Raw genomic sequence first — 25,462 nt, 5'->3', positions numbered from 1 at the left:
ACTACAAATACAGAAGTGTTATTTCATTGAAAGCTGGTATCAGTCAATACAATTTGTTTTTAAAGTTTTATTTAAAATACTTAATCTCAAAAGGATTATTCGAGTAGAATAATGTTATTGGTAATAAATAATGATTAAGAATTTCCTTTCCTTTGTTGATTATTTAAAATGCAAGTAAAATACTAAAAAGTACTGTATAGTGTAGTTTCACCATGCATTCTCCGTGGTTTTTGTAAAATTAATGGCCTCAATGGAATTTTTTGACACAGAGAAATTTCCTTATATCATTTTATTAGTGTACTTTCACTTTATTACTTGCTTGCACATCATAACTGATGGAAATAAAAATATTTTTATTTACACATATACAAAGCATGGAATTGTATGTTTTCTAGTGAGAAAAAGTCACCAATAATTTTATCTGTATAGGAACATTTTGATATGCCCAAAGTTCTTAACTTTCTTTTCTTTAGAAGTTTCATATTTCAGTCTAGGTATGAGATGGAATTGACTGACTGTGATCATTGTTTTTATTTCACTATGACTACTGAGTTTCTGACACAGTGATACTAATGTATAGACTTAAAAGCTTGCCGCTTCCTCCTCCTCCTCCTTCTTCTTCTACTTCTTCTTCCTCTTCTTCTTCTTCTTCACCTCCTCCTCCTCCTCTTCCTCCTCATCCTCCTCCTCCCCGCTTTGGACCTGTCCATGTGATTTCTGCAGTAATATGCACCGTTTTCTGAAATAAGGTTGCTGAAAGATACAAGCGTAAGTGGAGTTCTTTATTTTTGTGAACCTTTAGGAACAGAGAAGTAAAACTGAAACATAGTTGTGATATGAATTTAAGTCTGCAGTTTCTCACAGAAGTACCAAAAGGATGAAAATAAATTTAAAAATACATGGCTTATCCAAAACATGACGTAGAATAATGAAAAATTTAAATTGACATAAAGACCAATTTAAAAGTTATAATTATTCCAGGTGAGAGAAAGTAGCACTAAAAATCCTATTTTCCCTGTTTAAATACATAACTATTACTGTATCTTTAGGCTTAAAAAGTGTTAAGTCTAACTTAAGCAACAACTTGGCAATTTCTAACAATGAGTGCATCATCTTAGAATTTCTCCAAGAATCTTTTGGGAGAAATATAATCTAATCTTGCTCTATAAACAATTGAATTAATCAAGGAAATTATTATGACTGTAGTCTTGCAATTTCATTGTCCTTCTCTTTTCAGTTTTTACATATTCTCTTTAAAATTCAAAATCCCCTAGGGAAAATATGATAAATAACAATGACTGAAACAGTTGAAAAACAAAAACTGAACAGCGGACACATTTCAAGGTTTCCTTTATGAGAATGCTTCACTAACCATGTAATACACACATGATATAAATCACTGTGAGAAAAAAAAATTTGTATAGCTACTTGACAGTTTATACAGTAACAGCAAATATTCTCATTTGAACTTCAAAAGGGTTTTTAAACTTGTGTTTCATAAATGAGGAAAATGTGGTTTCTATTTCCTGTATTTGCCTATTACAGCAGTTATCACACTTATTATTCCTCATTTATCTCTGTGCCTGTAACAACTGCACTCTCAGAAGGACCATGTTTTTCTGAGCTTCTTGCAGACTGCCAGGCTTACTGTGGCATTTAGAAACTATCTGCTGAATGTTTGTGATATCTTAATGCAAGTTAGATTCTAGGCCACTGATACTAATTTTCTATTTAGTATTTGGGTTTGTAGAGCTATTTTTCCTTTTCAGTTTTTTTTCTTTTTTTTTTTTTTTATTATACTTTAAGTTCTAGGGTACATGTTCACAACGTACAGGTTTGTTACATAGGGATACATGTGCCATGTTGGTTTGCTGCACACATCAACTTATCATTTACATTAGGCATTTCTCCTAATGCTATCCCTCCCCAGCCCCGCATCCCACCAACCACCCCATGTGTGGTGTTCCCCACCCTGTGTCCCTGTGTTCTTATTGTTCAACTCCTACTTATGAGTGAGAACATGCGGTGCTTGGTTTTCTGTCCTTGTGATAGTGTGCTTAGTATGATGGTTTTCAGCTTCATCCATGACCTTGCAACCACAAAGAGATACCATCTCATGTCAGTTAGAATGGCAATCATTAAAAAGTCAGAAAACAACAGATGTTGGAGAGGATGTGGAGAAATGGGAATGCTTTTAAGGTTTTTTTTTTTTAAGTATACTATAAGGATATACTTATCTGGACGTGGAGTGGACAGTGAGTGGACAGTGCAGGTCATGGTCAGTGGGACCTCCAAAGGAGGCACCCCATTCAAATTGGAGGCTCTGCAGGAGAGGGCAGCCAGGGCGCAGAGTTCGAAGGCACTCTTGGGGGAGGAGAAGGTGCTGGTGGTGGACAACATCATGGCATGGTCCAGGTGGTGGTTGAGGAGAAGCCTGACATGGAGCCTGGTGGAGGACCAGCAGACAGCCTGGCCCTGGATCCAGCACACCCCAGCCAGCCACAGACTCGCTGGAGGCCCTTCACTTGAAGCAGAGTTCCATGAATAACCAGTCCACATGGCCTGCCCACAGCTGAGATGTAAGCTTTGGCAGAGGTGCCTTCCCAGCCTGGATGGCACAGGGGCCATCAGCCAGGGCATCTCCAGCTTCTGGGCCAGAGGCACATCTTTGCAGCTGCCCATTCGGAATGACTGGCAGCAGGGGGTGGGCATCTGGCTTCTTGGGGTGGGGAGCAGGGGAGCCAAGCAAGGGGCACACGGGGACAACCAGGAGGCAGGGGATGGGGGATAGCGAAGGGAGCTGAGGCCAGGGTCCTGCAGATAGGAGGGCAGCTTGCTTGGGGGTGCCCTGAGAGCACATGGTAGGGACTGGGAGCCAAGCTCAGCACTCACAAGGGAGAATAGGAGCCCCATGGACCCTTCACTCACAGCAGAAACTTGAAGGGCATGTTTCCATGAGAAAGTCCTTGGAGGAAGGGGAGTCTGCAAGCCCATGCCAGCCATAGAAACCACCCTGGCTGCCCATGTCTGTGGCCAGCAGCCTTACCCCAGAAACACAAGGTGCTTAAGACTTGGGTTCACGGTGCACTGGGCTGCTGTCCTCTGCAAGGCAGGCACAAACTCCCCAGATACGCTTTCTTCCTTCTGCCTGTACTGCACCCAAAGAGCTGAGCATATACAACCTCCGTTGCACAAACACCTCCATTACACACATGGAAGCCCCATGGGGAGCAACAGGCACAGCCCTGCAGTCCCCTCTATCCACAGCAGCTCCCTCAAGTGAACACGCCCACCCCTCAGGAAGACCAGGAGAAGAGGGGACTGCACACCTGGACACCCTCAGCAGAGCCAGTCCAGCATCCAGCACACAATGACCATGTGCAGCTCAGCAACTCTGAAGATACAGCCGCCTCACACAACAGCACCCCACACCCAATCCCCTGCCTACTTGTGCCGCCCGCTCCTTGTTGGCAGGAGCTTTCCGGGCCTCCCTCCACCCTCCCACAAGACCACCACAACCACTACCATGCCCCCAACACTGGACAGAGACAGGACCACCAATGCAGGGTACCAGGTCAAAGGTTTTGGGATAGCCCTGCCAAACACTCTCCCAGCTCTTGCAAAGTTGTGGGGTGTTTCCTGGCATGCCCACCCAATCATCTGGAGGTTCCTTGACCAGAGGCAGATTGTGCAGCACACCTACATGTCGGCAGAGTTCAGAAACCATGAGGAAGTCCTGCTAAGTAAGCTACAGGATGGATTTGAAGCTCAGCCTGAGGAGCCGGGGTCTGCGGGACGGGTCCAGGGTCTTGCTCAGGTTGAGGTCCTCCTGGGGCACAGGGGTTCTGAGTGGTAGAGCTGGGAAGGGGCAACACATGCTGCACCCCAGTCAGCAGGCCCTCAGCCCAGATAGATGAAATGGATCCTTTGAGTCTGTCCTCTTCTTCTTGGCATGGCAGGTGGAGGAACTCAGCCATCCCAGGTACCGGCAGCAGGATGAAGTGTTCCTTTTGTCACAACCTTTATTTCCACAATAAAGTGATCATTAAGGAATATCGTGTTCACATCCTTGGTAAGGAGTGCCTCCTGGTGTGGTAGAGGGTGGAGTGTGGGACGCTAGGCCTGGCATGAGCCTTTTTGACTCTTGTTCCAGGATGCAGGGCCACTGGCTCTAGTGTAGTCCAGTGGTTCTAGAGTCATCAGAAGAAGCCCCACCTTCAGTAAGGACACAGCCTACCTGAGCTTCCTCAGCTAGTTGGCTGACTGTGACCACTCAGGGTCAGCCAGGACTGCTGAGGCAGGGGCCGCTGTGGGGCGTCATGGGAAAGGACCTTGCTGGTCTTTCCTTGGCATCTTGGGAACTGGCTTTGAACTATGACCTGACCTTTCACAGACCACTTTCCCCACTCCTCCAGATCATCAGTCAGGGCTTCCGTCTCAATCCCCTGCAGCACTACCTAAGGATTAGGTCCTCAGAGAGGGAACAGAGAGGAGGCCAGGTAAGCAGCCCACAGCTGGGGGCTCAAAGGCCTGTGGGTCCTGCAGCTGTGACACACATGGAGAACTCAAGGCTCAGGGAGGAGCCTGCAGTGAGAAATCCCAGGCCATCCCTGGACTGGGGCAGAAAGGCCCATCAGGGAACTGTAACACTCATATTTCAGAATTGGGGAACCTGAAGTGCCTGAGGCAGAAGTGGCAAAGGTCAATGGGTGAGAAGCAAGGCTCAAGGGATAGCTGTCTCATCATCCTTCTCTGGCTCCCTTCTACGCCTTGAGGCCTGCTACTACCTGGGGCTCAGTTTGGGCTCAACTAGAGTGCACGCAGGGCGTGCCTAGGTCTACGTACTTCTAGAATGGCTATCCCAGCCCTGTCACGTTTTGTTTCAATGACCCCAGGCTCCCCTGACATGCTTTATCCCCTCTGCCATCCTCATTCATGCTTCCCCGGCTCTCAAGACATTTCCTATGACATTAAAAAATAGACATAAAGTTTTTTAAATGCCTTAATAATATAGATGCAGATAAAAGATTTCATTATAAAAAGTGCTTTTCCTCTTTACTTGTATCAAAGTCTTTTTCATGATGGGGAAAAGAATGCAACATACTTTGGTAAGTTAAAAAAGTATAAAAGTAAAAATAAATCCTACTGCAGATGATCAATTAAATGGCAGGGGATCTTCTGTGTGTGTCCAGGGAGGGTACGTGGCTGAGCAGTAAGCCTCACCTGAGTATTGGTGTAGACACCCAGTTTCCCTCGTACCAGTGTGGGTATGGGCACATTCCAGTTTGCGTGTCCAGCCTGTGTGTCTAAGCTGATGCACGCATGTGCACACGTGTGCCTGTGTACCTTTGTGTACCTTGGTTTTGGGAGGGCCGACACTCCTGCCCACAGGTGTGCCTCAAACTCAGCTCTTAAGCTGGCAAGCAGGGTGCCGCTGGGTTTGGCAATCCAACTTCAGGACCCGTGAAGTCTGCATGCTAGGGAGAAGCAAAGAGTCCTCATGGTTCTCACAAATGGCAGAGGGAGGAGGAAAAGGGTGGCTGGCACAAGCTACCTAGAGGAGATGTCATAAACCTGAAATGACACCCAGAGGGATATAAAACCTAGTAGCTGCCTGTGTTTACCTGTGTGTTCGGCTGGGGCATTCAGGTAAGAATCAGTGAAACCTGCAGGGCTTTGGGATTCGCTATTCGGGAATCCCTGTGCACCAGAGTCTCCGGCCCATGAGAGAGGACAGCATGTGGGTCCGGCAGGGCCTGAGTCTCCAGGGAGGGTGGCATTCTCCCTAAGAGGGCATGGGTCAGTAGGTGGAAGAGAAACCTGGGCTGTGGGTTCAGGTAGATGGGACACTTGCCACTTAGCCAGGTGGGAGCTCAGGAGAGGGCCAGGAGAGCCTAACTGGCCGGTGACACCCCGTCCCAGTGCTGGGTGTGCGCACACGAGCTTTGCCCCATGCACCCTCTCCAGGATGCCTCACCTGGGCAGACAGGAAGCAAGGCACACAAGATCCTAAGCTTATGGTCATGAGTGGACCCAGACTGGGGGGTCCCTAGGATCACTGTTCCCAGGAGAACCAGGCATGCAGGGTCTCTTCAGGACAGGGGTAAAATGCATAAGCCCAGCTCTCCACCCAGTGAGTGTCATGCCCTGATGATGTCAGCCATGGCAGATACAGGTCTTCCACCTAGATTGCAGATCCACAGGCTTACAACCTCCCCCTGGCCTTCTCTGGGACAGACCCCTGGACTCTGGAACAGCCAGTGCCCCAGGACTGTTCCTTCCCCGCCTCCAAGCTCGTGGGAGGCTCAGTGAGGACTCTCCTCCTAGTACATGGCCACCCACAGGCACTGTCAACAACCCAGGGCCCTTCTACATTCCGGGGTCCTGCCACCTTACCCAGCAGTGGGATAATGGGAAGGCAAAGAGCGGGAACAGACAGAGCGGGGGCCACAAGCCTCACCCTCCCACATGACAAGGGAATGAGGGGATCCTTCTCAGCGCAGGCAGCTGCTTTCAGAACATACCTGGAGGCACAGCACCAGCTGAGGGATTCACTCTGCCACAGCTGGGCATGGGGGATTTCAACATGTGCCAGGGACCTTGATCCTGGTTGCTGTACCAGGTGTATCTCTCTTCCAGATCACAATATGCTCACACCCTCCTTAACCTGAATGGACTCCTTGTCCTCACCACATGGTGTTAGCGGGAACTGCTACTCCTGGTGCCCCAGCTGCAGTTTCAAGGTGAAGAGATAGAGCAGCACACCCCTGAGTCCTTGTCCTCTTATCCAAGTAATATCCATAGAAATAGTAAAATAGTGGCATATTAGACCTATTGACATTTTTAAGGCTGATCTCTTTATAAGCATTTCATCCATATATTTATGACTTTATCTCATGTATTTTATTTATAACTCTCATTTCAAAATCAATTTTTGCTCAAGTTATTTCAACATATAGCCAAATGTTCAGAGCTATGATACATAGGTTTCAAGTTTAAAAGTCTGTATCTGCTATTATTTTGGGAAAAACCCATCGAGCACTTGTAAAAATAAGGAATTATTAGGCATGACCACTGTAGTGGTCTAAAACACACTTTGAAATTCTTCTCACACCCATTTGAAAATATTCCTGATGGGACTGAACACAGTACTTGCTTGTAATGAATAGAAAACAGTGCAAGCATTTTCTGGATACTGGACCACCTCTGGCCTAGTTTAGAAAAGGTGACACAGCTCTGCCTAACTCTCCTGCTCTCATCCCCCTTAGGAGCCCCCGACCAGTACATCACGAAGTCTAACACCCTGATGACACTATGCAGAAGGGACATCCAATGGAGAGACTCAAAGAAACAGAACAAGATGTCTGAGCATCTCAGCAGTCCAGCCCCTGCTATTTGAGTCACGCTAGCCATGGCACCAGGGAGATGAGAAGACACCCGCCAACGTCCCCAACCTTGGCCATCACTAGATTGCGTCCTCCTGAGTGCCCCAGAACCACAATCATTTGGCTGAGTGACTGCGGGGGATTGCAGAGACTGACAGTTAGTAAATTATAATTATTGTTTAAGCCACTAAGCTTTAGATAATTCTGAAAAGCACTTTAGACTCCTAGAAAAACTGAGTTGTCTACTGACTTAATTGCAGAGAGCTGTAAAGGCCAACATCATGAATGCTAATACCCTGGAAAAGTCAAATCATCGAGACTCTTCTAAACACAACAGATCTTTAATGCCCCTTCGCTATGGCTGGAGAATAATCTAACATGTATCTGATAGAGTTGTTTGAAAGCCTCTGTTCACATCTCTCAGCCTGGTATGGGTCAACTCTGGTCTGCTTTAATTCTAGGCAACTGCAGCAGTTCACGTTCCATTTTAGGTCGTGGCCTACACTGATTTTTTGATCACTGACCGTGTCTTTGTCTGTGTGTGTATGTTTTGTGTGTTATCATATTTTATCTGAGGAGGCTAAATAATAGTACTATAGTTTTGTAAACAGAAAACATTCCAGGAAGTCAGTATTGCTTATAAACTGAGCTTTAAAATAGATATGAAATTAGACATGGCAAGATGCCATGTCTACTATCATACCAAAGCTAGCCAAGCTTGGTGGCCCATGGATATTATCCCAGCTACTTGGAAGGCTGATGCAGGAGAATCCATTGAATCCTGGTGATGGAGTTTGCAGTAAAGTGAGATCACACCACTGTGCTCCAGCCTGGGCAGCACAGCGAGACTCTGTCTCAGAAATAAAAAGAGAATAAAATAATAAAATAGGAGAGATTACTGAAGAGACAAATGCATAAAACTGGGTGGGCATTGTGGCTCACGCCTGGATCCCAGCATTCTCAGAGGATGAGGTGAGTGGATCACTAGAGGACAAGAGTTCAAGACCAGCCCGAGCAAATATTGTGAAACCTGGTCTCTACTGAAAATAGAAATACACACACACACACACACACACACACACACACACACACATACAGGATTGGTGTCATATGACTGCAGTTGCAGTTGCTTAGGAGAGTGTGACTGGACAATTGCTTGAACCCGTGATAAGGAGGGAGCAGTGAGCTGAGATCACGCCACTGCACTCCAGCCTAGGTGACAGGGCAGGATTCTTTCTTAAAAAAAAAAAAATCAGTGAGAGAAAAAGATACAGAGACAAAAAGAAAGAAAGACAGGAAGGAAGAAAGGAAGGGAGGGAAGGAGGAAGGGAATGAAAATTTGTACCTAACAGTTGTAGATACTTTTGGCATACATGTGATATTTTGATACAAGTAATGTGAACTGGTAAGCGAGGGATCAAAGAGGGGATGGGGGTGGGTTAAATTATACTTGCTTAGAAGGAATAATATCTAGTGTTCAGTGGCACAGGATGACTACACTTAATAATGATTTATTGTACATCTCAAAATAATTAATAGAGCGAAGGTGGAATGTCGCTGATACCAAGAAAAGATACGCCAGACTCAGTGAGGTGGAATGTCGCTCATAATGAGAAAAGATATGCCAGACTCAGTGGCTCACGGCTATAATCACAACACTTTGGGAAGCCAGGGAAGGAGGATTATTTCGGTCTGGGAGTTTGAGACCAGCCTGAACAATATATCCAAAGCATTGTCCCTACCACACACACACAAACACAAAAGCTGGGCACGGTGGTTGGTGTGTGTCTGTAATTCCAGCTACTTGGGAGGCTGAAATGGAAGGCTTGCACATTTCAAGCCCGTGTTCAAGGCTGCAGTGAGCTATGATGGTGCCACTGCAGTCTAGGCTGGACAACAGTGTGAGACCTTGTCTCTAAAAAAGAAAAAAGAATCGGTAAGTGCTTGAACTGAAGGATACCCTATTTATTATGTATATATTTGTTGATTGATATAATTATTTTTGTGTTGGAGTCGCACTCTGTCACCCAGGCTAGAGTGCATGGTGCAATATCGGCTCACCGCAGCATCAGGCTCCCAGGTTCAAACCACTGTCCTGCCTGAGCCTCCCAATTAACTGCAACGTACTACAGGCAGGCACCACCATGCCCGGCTAATTTTTGTATTTTTGGTAGAGATGGGGTTTCATGGTGTTGGCCAGCCTGGTCTTCAACTCCTGTCCTAAAGTGCTCTGCAAGCCTCGGCCTCCCCAAGTGTTAGAATTAGAGACCTGAGCCATCACACATGGACAGTAAGATACACAAGACTCGGGAGATTTATCTTTTCACTTCATCCTCACAATGCTACAGGTGAATGAAAACACTCCATAACATGAATAACTCACTTGAAAATCAAAGTTGGTAACTTCTCCCTTTAAAATTATTTGTACCCTTACCCTGTAAAAATTGATGATTCTGTCAAAATTTTTCAAGAAAATACTTCCTCCTTGCAGATTAGTCTGTCAATTGTAAGAATTATGGACTGCAAAACTTCTGGAACTTGATGTATTTCATTTCTTTAGTTTGTATAATCAGGAAAATTAATTCATTTAGTTATTTCGGTCTAAATATTTGTATCATTCAGTGATGTCTTAAAACTTTAAGCAATCCCGTCGGAAACTTTATGCTGTTGTTTATGTTTTATACACTTCACTTTCCCCTAAGTATGAGGTTTAAAGCGTTTCCATTCATATTATCAATTAAATACGATAGGCTGACAGTGGTGGCACACGCCTATAATCTTAGCACTTCGGGAGTCTGAGGAGGGTGGATCAGGATTTTAAGAACAGCCTGGCAAACAAGGTGAAACGCTGTCTGCACTAAAAATACAAAAATTGGCCCCGCTGTGCGGCACACATATCTAATACCAGTTACTCAGGATGCTGAGGCAGGAGAATAGCTTGGATCCAGAAGGCAGCGGTTGCCATAAGCCAAGACAGAGCCACTGCACCCCAGCTTCGGCGACAAAGCTATACACTTCACCTCAAAAAAAAACTGATACTATCCCAACCACTCTAGATTATTCCTATCTGTAAGAACATATTACTAAACCATTACTTACAACATCCACTGTCAAAATATTCAAGAAAAAATTAACGTGGGAACCTCACAAGACAAAACACTTACTTTCCACTATTTAAACTACGAACATTTAAATTCATTATGCTACGCACCTGAGAAACTTAGCTGGTTCACTTCTGATTTAGGTGAAAAAAAAAGTTTTCATTACCGTTATCCTCTTCAGTCACAGAATGCTTCACATAGAATGTTCCGGATGTCTTAAACTTTAGTATCAATACATCTAATGATTTCCTTTGACCTGTACTATTCCTCTAAAAAATAAACGTTTTATGGTGAGGCAGACAGTTTTGTAGTCTTTCTGAAGACTTCTCCAACATTTTAACCTTGTTAGTTTTTAAAGAGAAACAGCCTAATTACAAAACTTGAGCAGCTTGCAAGGGCGACATAACACATCCCTAATTTTGTACCTATGTTCAAAGAAACAAAGGAAAATGTACAACAGACTACACAATTTACTCTCCTATTGAATTTGCTTTAAGCATGCGCGGCTAACCAATAACACCAGGCATCTTGCAGTACATGTCAAATTTTATTGTGAAAATTTTAAGGTAGATATTACATCTAAACACTTTTCAAATAGCATCAACAAGTATGAAATTACTTTGAAAACAATTCCTTTTCCTTTGAATACCTCAAAAAATTCATGGAGGAAGTTAGTATCTACCTCTCTCCACAAAACCAACATGTTTCTTTCAGTAATATGCAGGTAACAATGCAGAAATAACATTTCAATTTTTGATTTGCAAACAAGGATTGGTATGCAATAACTATTATTTTCAATGCTTGCTTTAATATCTGCTCGAGTCTCCTTTTTCAGATCGACTCTCCCCACCATCTACTATAGATGCCACATAACTTGAGCTACCACATGCTTCACGAGGATCAGGGAGCACCCTACCCAGAGAAGGCGGATTCCTTTGGTCTTTTCTGCAAACATGCTCACGATCACAATAATGAAAATCACCACAGCTCGAGTAACTCTCCCAACTTCTGCCATATCTATCTCGTGTATTACTATATGCGTGGCAGGTGCTTCCACCATAAGACATCCGAGGCCCTCTTGCAGGTGGTGCACCATGAGAGGTCCCTGCAGGGTTGGTAAAATAATATGTGGGACTACATTTAAACATTTTTACTGCTATCATTAAAGCATGAATTAGTTAAAGTACTATTTGGAAATATCTGCTTTCCTCCGCCTTTGTTGACAGGATATTAATCAAGGCTTTAATAGTCAGAAGGTTTTATTTAAGAGAAGTGTAAGAGTAGTATTTTGCAGCTTAACAAACTTAATTCTAAAGTAAATGCTCAGTCACATTTTCTTAACGTTAACTGAAGTTCTCACCTTCATATCATTCCCTAGGCTTTATACTGTTAAGAATACTCAATATTTAAACATGTTGCATATGGCCTTTACAATTTTCCTTAGAATTTCATTAAAATAACAATCTGGTCTATTAAATAAAATTCTGTAATTTACAAATCCATCCTGGACCCTTACCGTATCTCTGAAGTGCATCTCTATAAGAACTTCCACTTAGATGTTCAGAATGATCTCTACCAAGGGCCTCACCGTAGCCATCATGATAACTAAATTGAAAAAAAAAAAGTCTTTTCAATTTCAGAATGAACAATTTAAGAAATCCATTTGATAAATCCAGATAACATGTTAGTACCTATATCCTCTAGAGGAATGTTCATCCCAACTAGAATGACCATAATCACGGTATGCATAGTCTCTATGTGGTGGAGCATAATCCCTGGTTTCTCGGGAACTTGGATGATTTCTGCGTGCACGAGTTGAAGCAAGGAATTTTAAATTGTCACCTTCTAGTATCCAAAACATAACTACATTACAACTTAAACACAATTAAATTACCAAACATCTAAATAAAATGCCCACAGAGCCCAAATGCCCAAAATGCCCAAATGCCCAAAAAGCACATGAAACAGATACTCATAATCAGTGATTCAGGAAATGCATTTCAAATAAAAAAGGAGCATCCACACTTCACACACACACACTGGAAGGGCAAAAAATTTTCAAAAGCAGGAAATAACAAGTGTTTGAGAGGATGTAGATAAATTGGAGCCCTGATACAATGTTAGTTGGAATGAACAATTTAAGAAATCTATTTGATAAATCCAGAAAAAGTTACAGTATCTATATCCTCTAGAGGAATGTTCATCCTGCCTAGAATGACCATAGTCTCAGTATGCCTAGCCTCTAGATGGTGGAGCATAATCCCTAGTTTCTCGGGAACTTGGATGATTTGTGTGTGCATAAGTTTAAGCAACAAATTTTAAATTTTCATCTTCTAGTATCGAATACATGACTAACTTACAACTTTAAATTAAAAGGCCAAACATCTAAATAGGTATTTCTCCAAATAAAATAGGCAAATGCCCAAAAAGGACAAGTGACAGATACTCATATTCAGTGATTCAGAAAATGCATTTCTTTTTGTTTTATTATACTTTAAGTTCTAGCATACATGTGCATGATGAGTTAATGGGTGCAGAAAATGCATTTCAAATCCAAAATGAGATATCATATTTCACACACACAGATGAATGGCAATAGATTTTCAAAAGCAGGAAATAACAAGTGTTTGAGAGGATGTAGATAAATTGGAGCCCTGATACAATGTTAGTTGGAATGAACAATTTAAGAAATCTATTTGACAAATCCAGAAAAATTACAGTACCTATATCCTCTAGAATAACTTTCATGTCGACGAGAATGACCATAATCACGGTATCCATGGCCTCTAGATGGTGGAGCATACTCCCTAGTTTCTCGGGAACTTCGACGATTTCTGTATGCATAAGTTTAAGCAACAAATTTTAAATTTTCAACTTGTAGTATCCGATATATGACTAACTTACAACTTAAACAAAATTAAAAGGCCAAACATCTAAATAGATATTTCTCCAAATAAAATGGGCAAACGCCCAAAAAGCACATGGGACAGATACTCATATTCAGTGATTCAGAAAATGCATTTCTTTTTTTTATTATACTTTAAGTTCTAGGGTCCATGTGCATGACGAGTTAATGGGTGCAGAAAATGCATTTCAAATCCAAAATGAGATATCATATTTCACACACAGATGAATGGCAATAAATTTTCAAAAGCAGGAAATAACAAGTGTTGGAGAGGATGCAGATAAATTGGAGCCCTGATACAATGTTAGTTGGAATGAACAATTTAAGAAATCTATTTGACAAATCCACAAAAAGTTACAGTACCTGTATCCTCTAGAATAACTTTCATCCCGACGAGAATGACCATAATCACGGTATGCATGGCCTCTAGATGGTGGAGCATAATCCCTAGTTTCTCGGGAACTTCGATGATTTCTGTATGCATAAGTTTAAGCAACAAATTTTAAATTTTCAACTTCTAGTATCCGATACATGACTAACTTACAACTTAAACAAAATTAAAAGGCCAAACATCTCAATGGATATTTCTCCAAATAAAATGGGCAAATGCCCAAGATGCACATGGGACACATACTCATATTCAGTGATTCAGAAGACGCATTTCTTTTTTTTTTAATTATACTTTAAGTTCTAGGGTCCATGTGCATGATGAGTTAATGGGTGCAGAAAATGCATTTCAAATCCAAAATGAGATATCATATTTCATACGCACACACTGGAAGGGCAATAAATTTTCAAAAGCAGGAAATAACAAGTGTTTGAGAGGATGTAGATAAATTGGAGCCCTGATAGAACGTTAGTTGGAATGAGCAATTTAAGAAATCTATTTGACAAATTCAGAAAAAGTTACAGTACCTATATCCTCTAGAGGAATGTTCATCCCGATTAGAATGACCATTATCACGGTATGCATAGCCTCTAGATGGTGGAGCATAATCCCTCGTTTCTTGGCAACTTGGATGATTTCTGTGTGCATAAGTTTAAGCAACAAATTTTAAATTTTCAACTTCTAGTATCCAATACATGACTAACTTACAACTTAAACAAAATTAAAAGGCCAAACATCTAAACAGATATTTCTCCAAATAAAATCGGCAAATGCCCAAAAAGCACACGGGACTGATACTCATATTCAGCGATTCAGAAAATGCATTTCTTTTTGTTTCATTATACTTTAAGTTCTAGGATACATGTGCATGATGAGTTAATGGGTGCAGAAAATGCATTTCAAATCGAAAATGGGATATCATATTTCAAACACACATTTGAATGGCAATAAATTTCAAACAGCAGGAAATAACAAGTGTTTGAGAGGATGTAGATAAATTGGATTGCTGATACAATGCTAGGTTGGAACGGAAAATGATGCAGCTACTATGGAGAAATGTGGTGGTTCCTCAAGAAAACAAACATCATTATCATAGGACCATGCAATTCCACTCATATACACCCAGAACCGAGTAAGCACACTCAAACAAATATTGGTGCGTAGAAATACTCGGGTGGAAACAACGCAGATAAAATAATGGGTTAATAGCTTGTGGAAGGAGTGAAGTGCTATGATGTAAATGAACCTTCAGGACATCATGCAAAAGGAGAGGAGACAAATACAAAAAGTCATGTAGTGTTTGAGCACATTAACATTAAATACCCACAACAGGTAAGTTCAGAGGCAGAACACTGACTGGTGTTATCTAGCAGCTGAGGAAAAGGAGAAAATGGGAGGGACTGCTTAACTGGTAGTAGGAGTTTCAATTTGGAGTGATGAAAATGTTCTGGAACTCGATGGAGGTAGTTGTTGCATGGCACAGAATGTATCAAACACCACCTAACTGTTCACCTTATAATATTTAATTTTGTTATGTGAATTTCATCACCACAGGAAAAAAAAATCAACTGTGCTTTTTAATTTTTCCTTTACCCATCGTTAGTTGCATAACCATCATGTCTTGTTGACATGCGATCATTTCTCCAGGAAGATATTGTCGCTCTGCGTGGAGGAACTCCATAATTCTCTCTTCTTTGTGACATGGGACCTTTAACATTCAAATGATGGAACATTACGTAAAGAACACCAAATCTGAAACGCTATTTTCTCTTCTCTCAAACAACTTTTTAAAATTATTTCTTCTATGACTCCATTCTTTGTTTCCTAAATTACTAGACAGACATGACACTGTGAATATTTCTCATGGCTTTGGATAATCCCATGGCTCCCACAAGGCCAGTTCTTCTAATGAAGCTGAAGGCAAACATTAATGCTTAGGTAAAAGTTCATTTGTAATGGTTAATAACTACTTAGTTATTATTTTCCTTTCCATATAAATTACTGATGACTGTGAGTGACACAGGGAAAACACGTAAAACCATCAAACTCTTCACTGATTTTAAAGTTTACATACATTGTTCTTTCTCAGCCAAAGAAGGTAGATTTTCCAATATCATTCAGTCCATCTCACAGACACATAAATACAGCTACCTTTAAATGACTATATGCTAAATGTTTACATAAAAGTTCTTTAACTGGTTGGCTCTATCTTAAATGTTGACAAATTAAAATGTATTAGTGAAGATTTTCTAATGATGGTCAAGATTTGCTTTTACTGCAAAGAAAGCAATGCTATGCAAGGGGTCATTACAACATTGTTGCTGTTTCAAAATAGAAAGTTTCTCCTCTAATATATTCTTCACTTGCTATTCCTTAGCGGTCAGTGTTTCACATATGATACCTTCACTGGCTAATTTTCCAATGGAAATGTGTTGGCTTGGGTATCCTGAAGCCAATAAATACCTCCCTTCACCGATACTCTACGTATGAAATGTAAAATTGAAAATGGCAGTTTTTAACTTCCTCCGTATGCGGATGGAGGACTAAGAAAGAATTTTAATTTGCTCTGCTTAAACTTCCTTGCTAAGAACTTTTATTTATTGTCTTATTTTCTTCTGTTCAGTCTGCAGTCTTACAATTCTTCTCAAAAGTATTACTTGCATTCAACCCTACCGCTCACCTCATGTTGCTGAGTTCTAAATTCTCTCCTCAAATAATTTCAAATCTTACACTAAGGATCTTGTGTTAATGTTTAAACATCCCGGTACAATCTCAATTACTGATTTACATACACCTATATTTCACAACTCTGCATTTCTGTGATATCCACTTAATTTAAGAATTTTGGACTCCTACGTGTCTACCTCTCGAGCCTTAAATTTATTTTTAAATCATATTTAAGCCCAATGACTCCTTGTCTGCTAAATGCTCTTGTAGTTCTTTTGAATCTTCATGCAAGCAGTGAGTATGCCTTGCACATACGCATTACTGAGGTCTCAGAAGCTGGATGGCCAGGCTTAGCGGCTCACACTGTGAGTGAGTGTGGAAGGCTGAGGCAGCTGGACCGCTTGAGCCCCAGGCTTTAACATCAGTTTTGACAATGTAGTCAGATCCTCTCTCTACAAAAACATAGGGAAAAAAATGTAGCTAGGTGTGCTGCTGCATGCCTGTAGTTGCACAAACTCGGGAGGCTGAAACAGCAGAATTGCTTGAGCCCAGGAATTTGAGGCTATAGTAAGCCGTCATCTCACAAATTTGAGGCTACAGTAAGCCGTCGTCTCACATAGTGCACTCTCACCTAGTAAGAGCAAGACTCCAACCCAGCAAAGTCACCGAACAAGCAATTTTTAGAATGGGACACCAGGGGACTTAGGAAATGGAAGAGTTAATTAGATCAAGAAGCCTACCATCAAAGAATACTGCTAGGAACTTTTAGAAAAATTAAGGGGAATTTTCTAGCCAACACAGGATTAAAAGGAATGTTGGCCTCACTCTAATCACTTCTTTGATCTGCAATGAGAAGCTCAAGTATTTCTTCAACATAAATCTGAAATGTACCTAGTGAGATAGAAACTATAATAAAAGCTATCAATCAGTAATTATGCTCACGTATGTGTCACTTCTCTTTTGTTCAATGAACTTAAAGCTAAGCATTCAGGTAAAACGGCTCATTTTTAGTCATACAAAAACTACGGTCTTTCTGTCAGGCAGCATTTACCTTGGCTTCCCATCCAACTATTGCTTCTTGCCACAGCAGAAGGAGCAGATTTTTTCGGAGGAGGACCTCCACTTCTTGAAGATGGACCTCTTTTAACTGGAATGAGTCCCCTAGAATAACTCATCTTGAGATCAGGAGTGTATCCACCATCATCTGTATTTCAAACAAAATCTTTTTAGTTAACTGACGTCACTGTTTCTTAAATGGCTAAGTTTTAGTTGTTTACAAATATTTTCTACATTTTATAACAAATTCACATTTTGTCTAAACTAATAAAATTAGCATTCCTACAAGGTATTAGTACACTTCAAGCATTAAAAGTTCATTTAGAAAATCTAGAAAGAAACTCAAGTATCATAATATATCGGTATGAAGGAGAGATGTGGGAAAATGGGGAGTGAACGGGGGCAGAAATCTATCACTAAAATATCCAAATATAATATACATAAAAATATTAAAAGAAAAATGATAAATGACTGTTTATATCATTCTGTAATGAGGAAAAATTTTCAAAGCACATCATAAAGATAAACTAATTTCCATTCAAAGAAACTCAAATATTTCCAATACCAAGAAATCACATATCAGGAAAATACATTGTCTCTAAAATTTGTTAACACAATATAGAATTCTTAAAATTCCCTTATGAGACACTAATTTTCAGATGAGACTATGCTGAATTTTAACAGTCTTTAAGAATTGCATATTCGGTAATATAAACATATTTTTATACATCTACAAAAACGTAGATATATGCCAATTGCCAGGTGGTGTTACAGGTTAGAATTTATGTACACATTCTCGTCCGTGGCAGAGTATAATTGAAGCTCACCCTCAAGATCAGTGGAGGCAAAACAGCCGTGAAGCTACGCATCTTAAAATGGAGCAAACACTGCAATTTCAACTTGAAAACAATCTCCAATTAATTACATGTCTGGTTATTAAAACTCCAAGCTATTTGTTAGAGTTCTGAAGGTTGGTTAATAGATAATACAAGTTAACCAACAGGTTTATTTATTTATTTATTCAGATGCACTCTTGCCCTATCACGCAGGCTGGAGTGCCATGGCATAACCTTGGCTCACTGCAGCTTTTGCCTCCCAGGTTCCTGTGATTCTCCTGCCTCAGCCTCCTGAGTAGCTGGGATTACAGGTGCACGCCACCAGGCCCAGGCAAATTTTTTTGTATCTTTAGGAGAGACAGGGTTTCACCATGTTGGCCAGGCTGGTCTGGAACTCCTGACCTCGTGGTCCACCTCCCCTGTACTCCCCAGGTGCTGAGGTGACAGGCGTGAGCCACCTCGCACAGCCCATCCAATAGTTTTTTCTTTTTCCTTTTTTTTAAATATATGGTTTGTTTTTCTTTTATATGTAAAGATGGACCCCTCATTTCTATTAAGTAAATCACTCATAAATATCATTTTCAGTGACTCAGCCTCCAGCAAAGAAAGATTCATACATATCTGTGAAGCAGTGGTTTTTAGATCTTTCCAGAGTCACAGACTCTTTTCAGAAATTAAAGTTCTACATTTCTTAAATTGAAAATGCTTTACGGCAGGCCAATGTACAAACTCTCTGTATCAAAATTACAAAGCAATACATTTGCATAGATGTTTCCACATGTAGACACAAGAAAACAAATACTGCAAAATCAATCTTCAGTATTCAGTTACTTCTTCCTGTTGGAAAATTTTAAATATTACATCGTACTTTGATAATACAACTGACACGAAGTTCTGGGCCCTAAAGTAGAAAACTCTAAAGTATAATGAATATAAATGAGTTCTGCAGAAAACCGGTTGAGTACAGGCAATCAGCATTCACAAACACAACTCACTTTCAAATGTGTGTTACTTCAGTGCAAACTTATTATAATTGTTAAACAAATTTTAGATATTAGTTCAATCATTCTTATAATACACCTTTATAGTACTTAGAAATAAGTTTGCTTATTATCAATAAGCTAATTTTCTCTTCATACAGGAAAGAAAAAAATTAAGAAATTTCAATATCGTCAAACTTATTTTCTTTCAGTCCTATGGTTCCATCTTTATATTTTAAAACATTACCCAGGTGCCCTTCATGTGAGGGAAGCCACCCTCTTGTTCCTCCACGGCTTCCTCTTGCAGATCTCAGACTTCCTGAAGGGCTTCTGTTTCTCGAAGAAGCTGGTGGTCTCCGCCTACCACCACTTTGAAAAGATGGTTTCTTGGCTTGTTCTACTTTTATTGCTTTTCCATGCAAAGACTAGAAGTATTAAGGGTACTATCAATAACACCGGCACATTTAACGTAAGCACATTTTACAAACATTTTTACATCAACTGTAGTTCAATTTGAGGTATTTTTCTCCCAAAAGGAAACTTTTTTTTCTTCTAAAATGAACACATCTTTCGCAATGCCAAATTTGAGATAGTTACTGAGCACATGCCTTCCATTAAGGGATCAAACACAAATTCTATTATTCAAATTCCTTGAAAACTTTTCCATCATTAAAAAAAAAAAAAACTCAAACATAAAAAAAAAGTTTGACCCATCACACATTCTGTGGAAGAATGTGGCACATCTGTTTTTTACAATATATAATCCACTTCATCTTTGTAGTCACATCACTGATTTGAAAGTTGCAGTGTCCCAATGAAACTCGTGTCATTTAAAAAAAAAATGAGCTTACTTTTTCAGAGTGATTAGGCACATTACTCATTATGAGTTGTTTCTTGTTGGATTTGCTAACACTTCCATAAAATGTCCCCATATGATTTACAATTCTATATTGACTCTAAAAATGTTTCTGTAAATGTGATCCTTGTTTGATCTCATTAAGTTTTCTTGCCTTACTCATTTCTTACATTGCCTTAGACGTGCCCCTAAAAAACGAATCTTAATATAGTACTTCAGGTAATTTCTCAGAAATGCTTAACTATCCTAATTAATTTCATAATAACATTTTTCACTGTAATCTTTTCTACAGGCCACAGCAATTTTTGAAAACAGTTCAGCTAATAATGCGATTTAAAAATTACATGGCTTTTGTTATTTGGAGGAAGGACTTAAATCCCTGAACAAGACCGCTTGCAGCCACATCGCCCGTTGTTCCTACCTTGAAACTTCTTTTGTTATTTCTGGGCTCAAAATATTTTCCCCAGATTTGCCCACGGCTGCTTCCTTCCCAGTGTTCTGAAGTCAGCCAAAATTCCTTAACTGTTAATTCCCCCTGAAAACTCAAAGAACCTCCTTTATTGGCCATCTTAACATTAATGTGCATACAACATTCATAGTTATTTTAACACAATAAAATACGTGAGATGAAGTAATTTAGAAATAACGTTGGCTGGGCGCGGTGGCTCACACCGGTAATCCCAATACTTTGGGAGGCCAAGGCGGGTGGATCATGAGGTGAAGAGATAGAGCTCACCCTGGCTAACAGGGTGAAACCCCATCCCTACTCAAAGTACAAAATTAGCTGGGCGTGGTGGCGCGCCTCTGTAGCCCCTGGTACTGGGAGGCTGAGGCAGGAGAATCGCTTGAACCCGGGAGGCGGAGGTTGCAGTGAGCCAAGATGGCCCCACTGCAATCCAGCCTAGGGCACACAGCGAGTCTCCATCTTAAAAAACAAACAAACGAACAAAAACTTTACACAAATTACCTGCCCTTTTGCTTGAAAACTAGAGGGAAAAAAGAAATTATCATAGCTTCCTATACAGAAGTCAAAATTATCTCCATACCTACCACAAAGCCATGAACCAAAAGCAACTCTCGGTTTCTACCACAGCTTGAAATACTAATTTATAAGGGTGAATAAAAATGTACTTTCTGCTATGTGACAGGAAGTGTGCTAGATGTAACAGAAAGAAAAGCAACTAGCAAGACTTAAATATGCACTATATACAATTTCACGATCAATAGATTAATACATAGTACAGCGAGTAGAAAATACCTACAATACGCAATGAGGAAGAAAATTATGAAATCTAAGTGGTTTTTGAAGCATAAATTTTATTTATGAGCCATACACAGGGAAGGATAATTCTCAAGAAGTCTAAAAAAGCACTTTGGGAATAGCGTGAAGACTAACAGGACCTAAAAACAGATTGGGATAACGTTATTTATTTATTTTATTTATTTTTTGTTTTTTTGAGACGGATTCTTGCTCTGTTGCCAGGCTGGAGTGCATCGGCGTGATCTCGGCTCACTGCAACCTCTGCCTCCTTGGGTTTAACCGATTCCCCTGCCTCAGCCTACTGACTAGCTGGAACTACAGGCACACACAACCAGATGCAGCTAATTTTTTTTTTTGTATTTTAGTAGCGACAGGGTTTCACCATGTTGGCCATTATGGTTTCTTTCTCCTGACCTTGTGATCTGCCCGCCTTGGCCACCCAAAGCGCTGGGATTACACGCATGAGCCACCATGCCCGGCATGATTGGGATAATGTTATAAAGCAAAAAACACTAAAGAGCACAGAATGGAATGCTCTTGACTACAATGTAAAGGAATTCAATAATTAATATCATTACATAGAAGTTTAAAGCTTAAGTAAACACACAATCTCTAGATTTAAGACTCAACAGGACAAGAGACCATTGGTTCAATCAAAACAAGTCCTCAAACACACTGGGGAAATGAGTAATTAGCTATTCATGTTACATAAATCACTCTGGTGACAGGAAAGAAATGTCCTTAGGAGAAAAAGCAAGCATGGAGCCAAGAATGCCAGTTACTTCTTCTGTTATCTGACTTCAATGTTCTCATATTATTTTCTATTTTCAACTACTTAACCTTTCCGTAAATGTAAAGGTCTTATTTAAATACACTTTCGCAAGAATATATTTTCATAAAATATATTCTTCAAGAAGGAAAGAGTCTTTCCTTCTTGTGCGTCTGTCTAGATGTCTATCCAGTTTGTCTACGCTCTAAAAGTATTTCCATGAATTGGATGTACTTCAATTAATAGCATTTAATAAATATTGACTTATTACTTTCATTTACATGAGGGTTCCTTATAAGTTTTAAAGCTCTTCAAAACCTTTTAAAATCTATTTGCACTCATATCGAAATACAAACATAGAAAAAGGTTACCAAATATTAATTTATGTAATGTTAATTCCAATACCCTTCCAACTACACTTGCACGTATATGGCACAAAAAAGAGGATGGCTTCATGTGTCATTCTACTATCCTCAAAAGTTTAGCAATATTAAAAAGACCTAGAAATATTGTTAATTGAAGAACAGAGTTAGAATATTAGTAATAAGGGACTCTTACCTTTCCATTCATATCTTTGGCAGCATTCTTAGCATCTGCAGGGTTCTCAAAAGTAATAAATGCAAAGCCTCTGGATTTGCTGGTTCGATCCTTTATCAAAAGAACTAAAATATATGAAAACATTTTACATTCATATAATGGACTCATCAAGGTACTCACCATCTAAAGGTTACATCAAACTAAAAAATAATTGCATTTCACATCACTATTATGGTTCTCGATACTCAGTCACCCCTACAGTCAGTCTAGTTTATTCCAGTTTGTTTCGGAACTCCACAGCACATTTACTTTCCCTCATTTTCCTTTCTAAGTAGTAGGTTATCCTTTCCATAGAACCTTAACCTACTACTATGAGAATTTTCCAAATATCAAACAGATACTACAAAATAAGAGTTTAAAATGCATAAGGCATTTTAATGTAGGTATACAATGAACTTTGAAAAAATATATTTTTTCAAAACATATATATATAACATACATATTTTAAACATACCTATTGAAATATACATGTGAAAATACACACACACACACACACACACACACACACACACACACACACACACGGTTTTAAGAGTTACCTTCTGATATGGGACCATGTTTCCCAAATACTGCTTTAAGCATCTTCTCATTGGTTTCTCTATTGAGGCCACCAATGAAAAGCTTGCCAGGATGATCTGCTTCTACCATTGTGCTGTAAATGGTAAAAAATTATCTATATTTAGATATAAATAAGCTAAAAAGATAAAATTTTATTACATACTGTGCTGAAAACCCAAGTAAAATTCCCTTCCTGAGGCTGACATCTTTTTAGTATTTCTTACTTTATATATGTAAAATTTGTAACACTCAGAGCAAAGGGGCACTAACTTCATGGACAAATGCTGCATTTTAGTATGTACCTGACAAAAATCTCATTTCTAAAAATTAGATAAGAAAAGCTATTGTAATTTTCCTCAGTTGCAATATGAAGAATGTCCCCATTTAAATAATTTTATTTGAAAAGAATCTATTTATGAGGTACAGTGTGATGTTTTGCATATTTTCTTTCTTGAGATGTCTGTCTCCTGTCGCCAAAGTGAACTGCTCACTGCAGGCTCTTCCACCCAGCCTCAACTGATCTTCCTACATCTCAGCTTCCCAAGTAGCTAGTACTACAGGCGCTTTCTACCACAGCTGGGCAATTTTTTGTATTTTTAAAAATAGACAAGGGTTTCCCCATAGTGCCCAAGCTAGTCTCCAAATCTTCGGCTCAAGTGTTCTGCCGGCTTGGGACTACCAAAGTGATGGGATTTCAAGGGTGACTCACCACACTCAGCATGATATTTGGATAAGAGATTAAATCAAGCTACTTAAAATGTTCTAGGAGGAGAATATTTTAAATATTTTACCATCTTTTAGTGATTTGAAATATACAATAGGTCAAAGATCCCCAAACCCTAGCCTTCAACCCGTACCTATCTGTGGCCTGAATGTGATGCCGGAGGATGACCTGCAATACCTGTCTGTGGAGAATGTAACGCCTGAGGATGACCTGAGGTGGTACAGTTTTATCCGGAAACCATCCTCCCTACTCCCTCGCTGGCCCTCCCTGTCCCCGTGACAGCCTCACTGCCCCACCTGGCCTCTGTCACATTGCTCCTACCGGAAGACCCGGCCCACCACGTGCCCCTCGGAGACCTGCCGCCAGCCCCCACTCCCAAACCTGTCCACCTCGCCGCCTTCTTCCCCTGCGCAACCTTTCTCTGAGGAAAAACTGACTTCCACTAAACCAGTCCCTGATGCGAAAATAGCAATGAAAGAGTCCAGTACGTTACCCAGGCTGGTCTCAAACTCCTGACTTCAAGCCATCCTCCGACCTCCACTTCCCAAAATGCTAGGACTACAGGAGTAAGGCAGTGTGCCAGGTTAACAGAATAACTTAAGCGCATCTATTTTGTTCCAGTTTTCGGCTATCTAACTCCATTTGTCTCGATTACACCCACTTATTCGGTTTAAATTATTTACGGTGCCAAAGACACATGAAACGTTTCAAATACTGCCATACAACGAAGGAGACGATCACAGGCTTTACAGAGGCAAACTGAAACTCAGATTATTTGTGGCCCCATATTTCTACATACACTAAAGTAACACAATTTATGTCAAAATTTGATAATTCTTCCAAGCAAATCAGACACGCGACATGTGCTAACCAAAAGTGTGACTTTTTAATCGCAGTGGTTAAGTGTATTGCCTGTATTCTGAATTATCACCACATTCACAGAGAAAACCCGCTTTAATAAAAAGTGCACATGAAAACCAATGGCGGCTTAGCACCATCTCCCACAACTAGTCGGACACATTAGGCAGTTAAAGGTAGAATCCTCAGGAAAAATCAATGAGTTTAACGAAAGTGAGTCTCTTAATAGCACTGAGGAGTTCTTTCCCCACTGACTCCTCCCGTAATTCAACACCCACACATAGAAAACCCATCCCCTTTTATAGACAAAATCCCAAACCTTCGCTTTCTATTCTTGCCGAGAGACCCAGCTGTCCAGAGAAACAGAAAATACCTGCGCTTTTTAGTAGGACAAAGAGCCTGAGGTTCGCCTGGCCCTCAGGCCGTACGTAACCGGCTTCGGAACACCACAGGGCCAACTGCGGGAGGGACAGCTGGAGCTTCCCTGAGAGGGAAGGACGCCGGAAGCCGTGCCCGGAAAT

General features: G+C 40.5%; 1 protein-coding gene across 4 annotated transcripts; it reads right to left on the bottom strand.

Annotated features, from left to right (window-relative positions):
- On the bottom strand, nucleotides 658–25,462 carry RBMY1A1 (RNA binding motif protein Y-linked family 1 member A1). 4 transcript variants are annotated; one of them, XM_011531437.3, is made up of 12 exons: nucleotides 25,315–25,462; nucleotides 23,341–23,453; nucleotides 22,763–22,866; nucleotides 19,566–19,743; nucleotides 17,498–17,650; nucleotides 15,373–15,487; nucleotides 14,307–14,417; nucleotides 13,755–13,865; nucleotides 13,210–13,320; nucleotides 12,178–12,288; nucleotides 12,003–12,091; nucleotides 658–753 (listed from the first exon to the last, which is right to left on the bottom strand). In XM_011531437.3, the coding sequence occupies exons 2-12, from the start codon at nucleotides 23,447–23,449 to the stop codon at nucleotides 677–679; spliced, it is 1,269 nt and encodes a 422-aa protein (XP_011529739.1). In that variant the 5' UTR covers nucleotides 23,450–23,453; nucleotides 25,315–25,462; the 3' UTR covers nucleotides 658–676. The 4 variants fall into 4 exon arrangements, with proteins under 4 accessions (XP_011529739.1, NP_005049.1, NP_001307873.1 ...); NM_005058.4 differs by lacking the exon at nucleotides 658–753 and adding an exon at nucleotides 11,015–11,591; NM_001320944.2 differs by lacking the exons at nucleotides 658–753; nucleotides 12,178–12,288 and adding an exon at nucleotides 11,015–11,591.

Source organism: Homo sapiens, chromosome Y (genome assembly GCF_000001405.40).
Source record: "Homo sapiens chromosome Y, GRCh38.p14 Primary Assembly".
NCBI classification, from domain to species: domain Eukaryota; kingdom Metazoa; phylum Chordata; class Mammalia; order Primates; family Hominidae; genus Homo; species Homo sapiens.
Note: the sequence above shows the minus strand (reverse complement) of the source record. Positions and strands in the feature narration are given on the sequence as shown.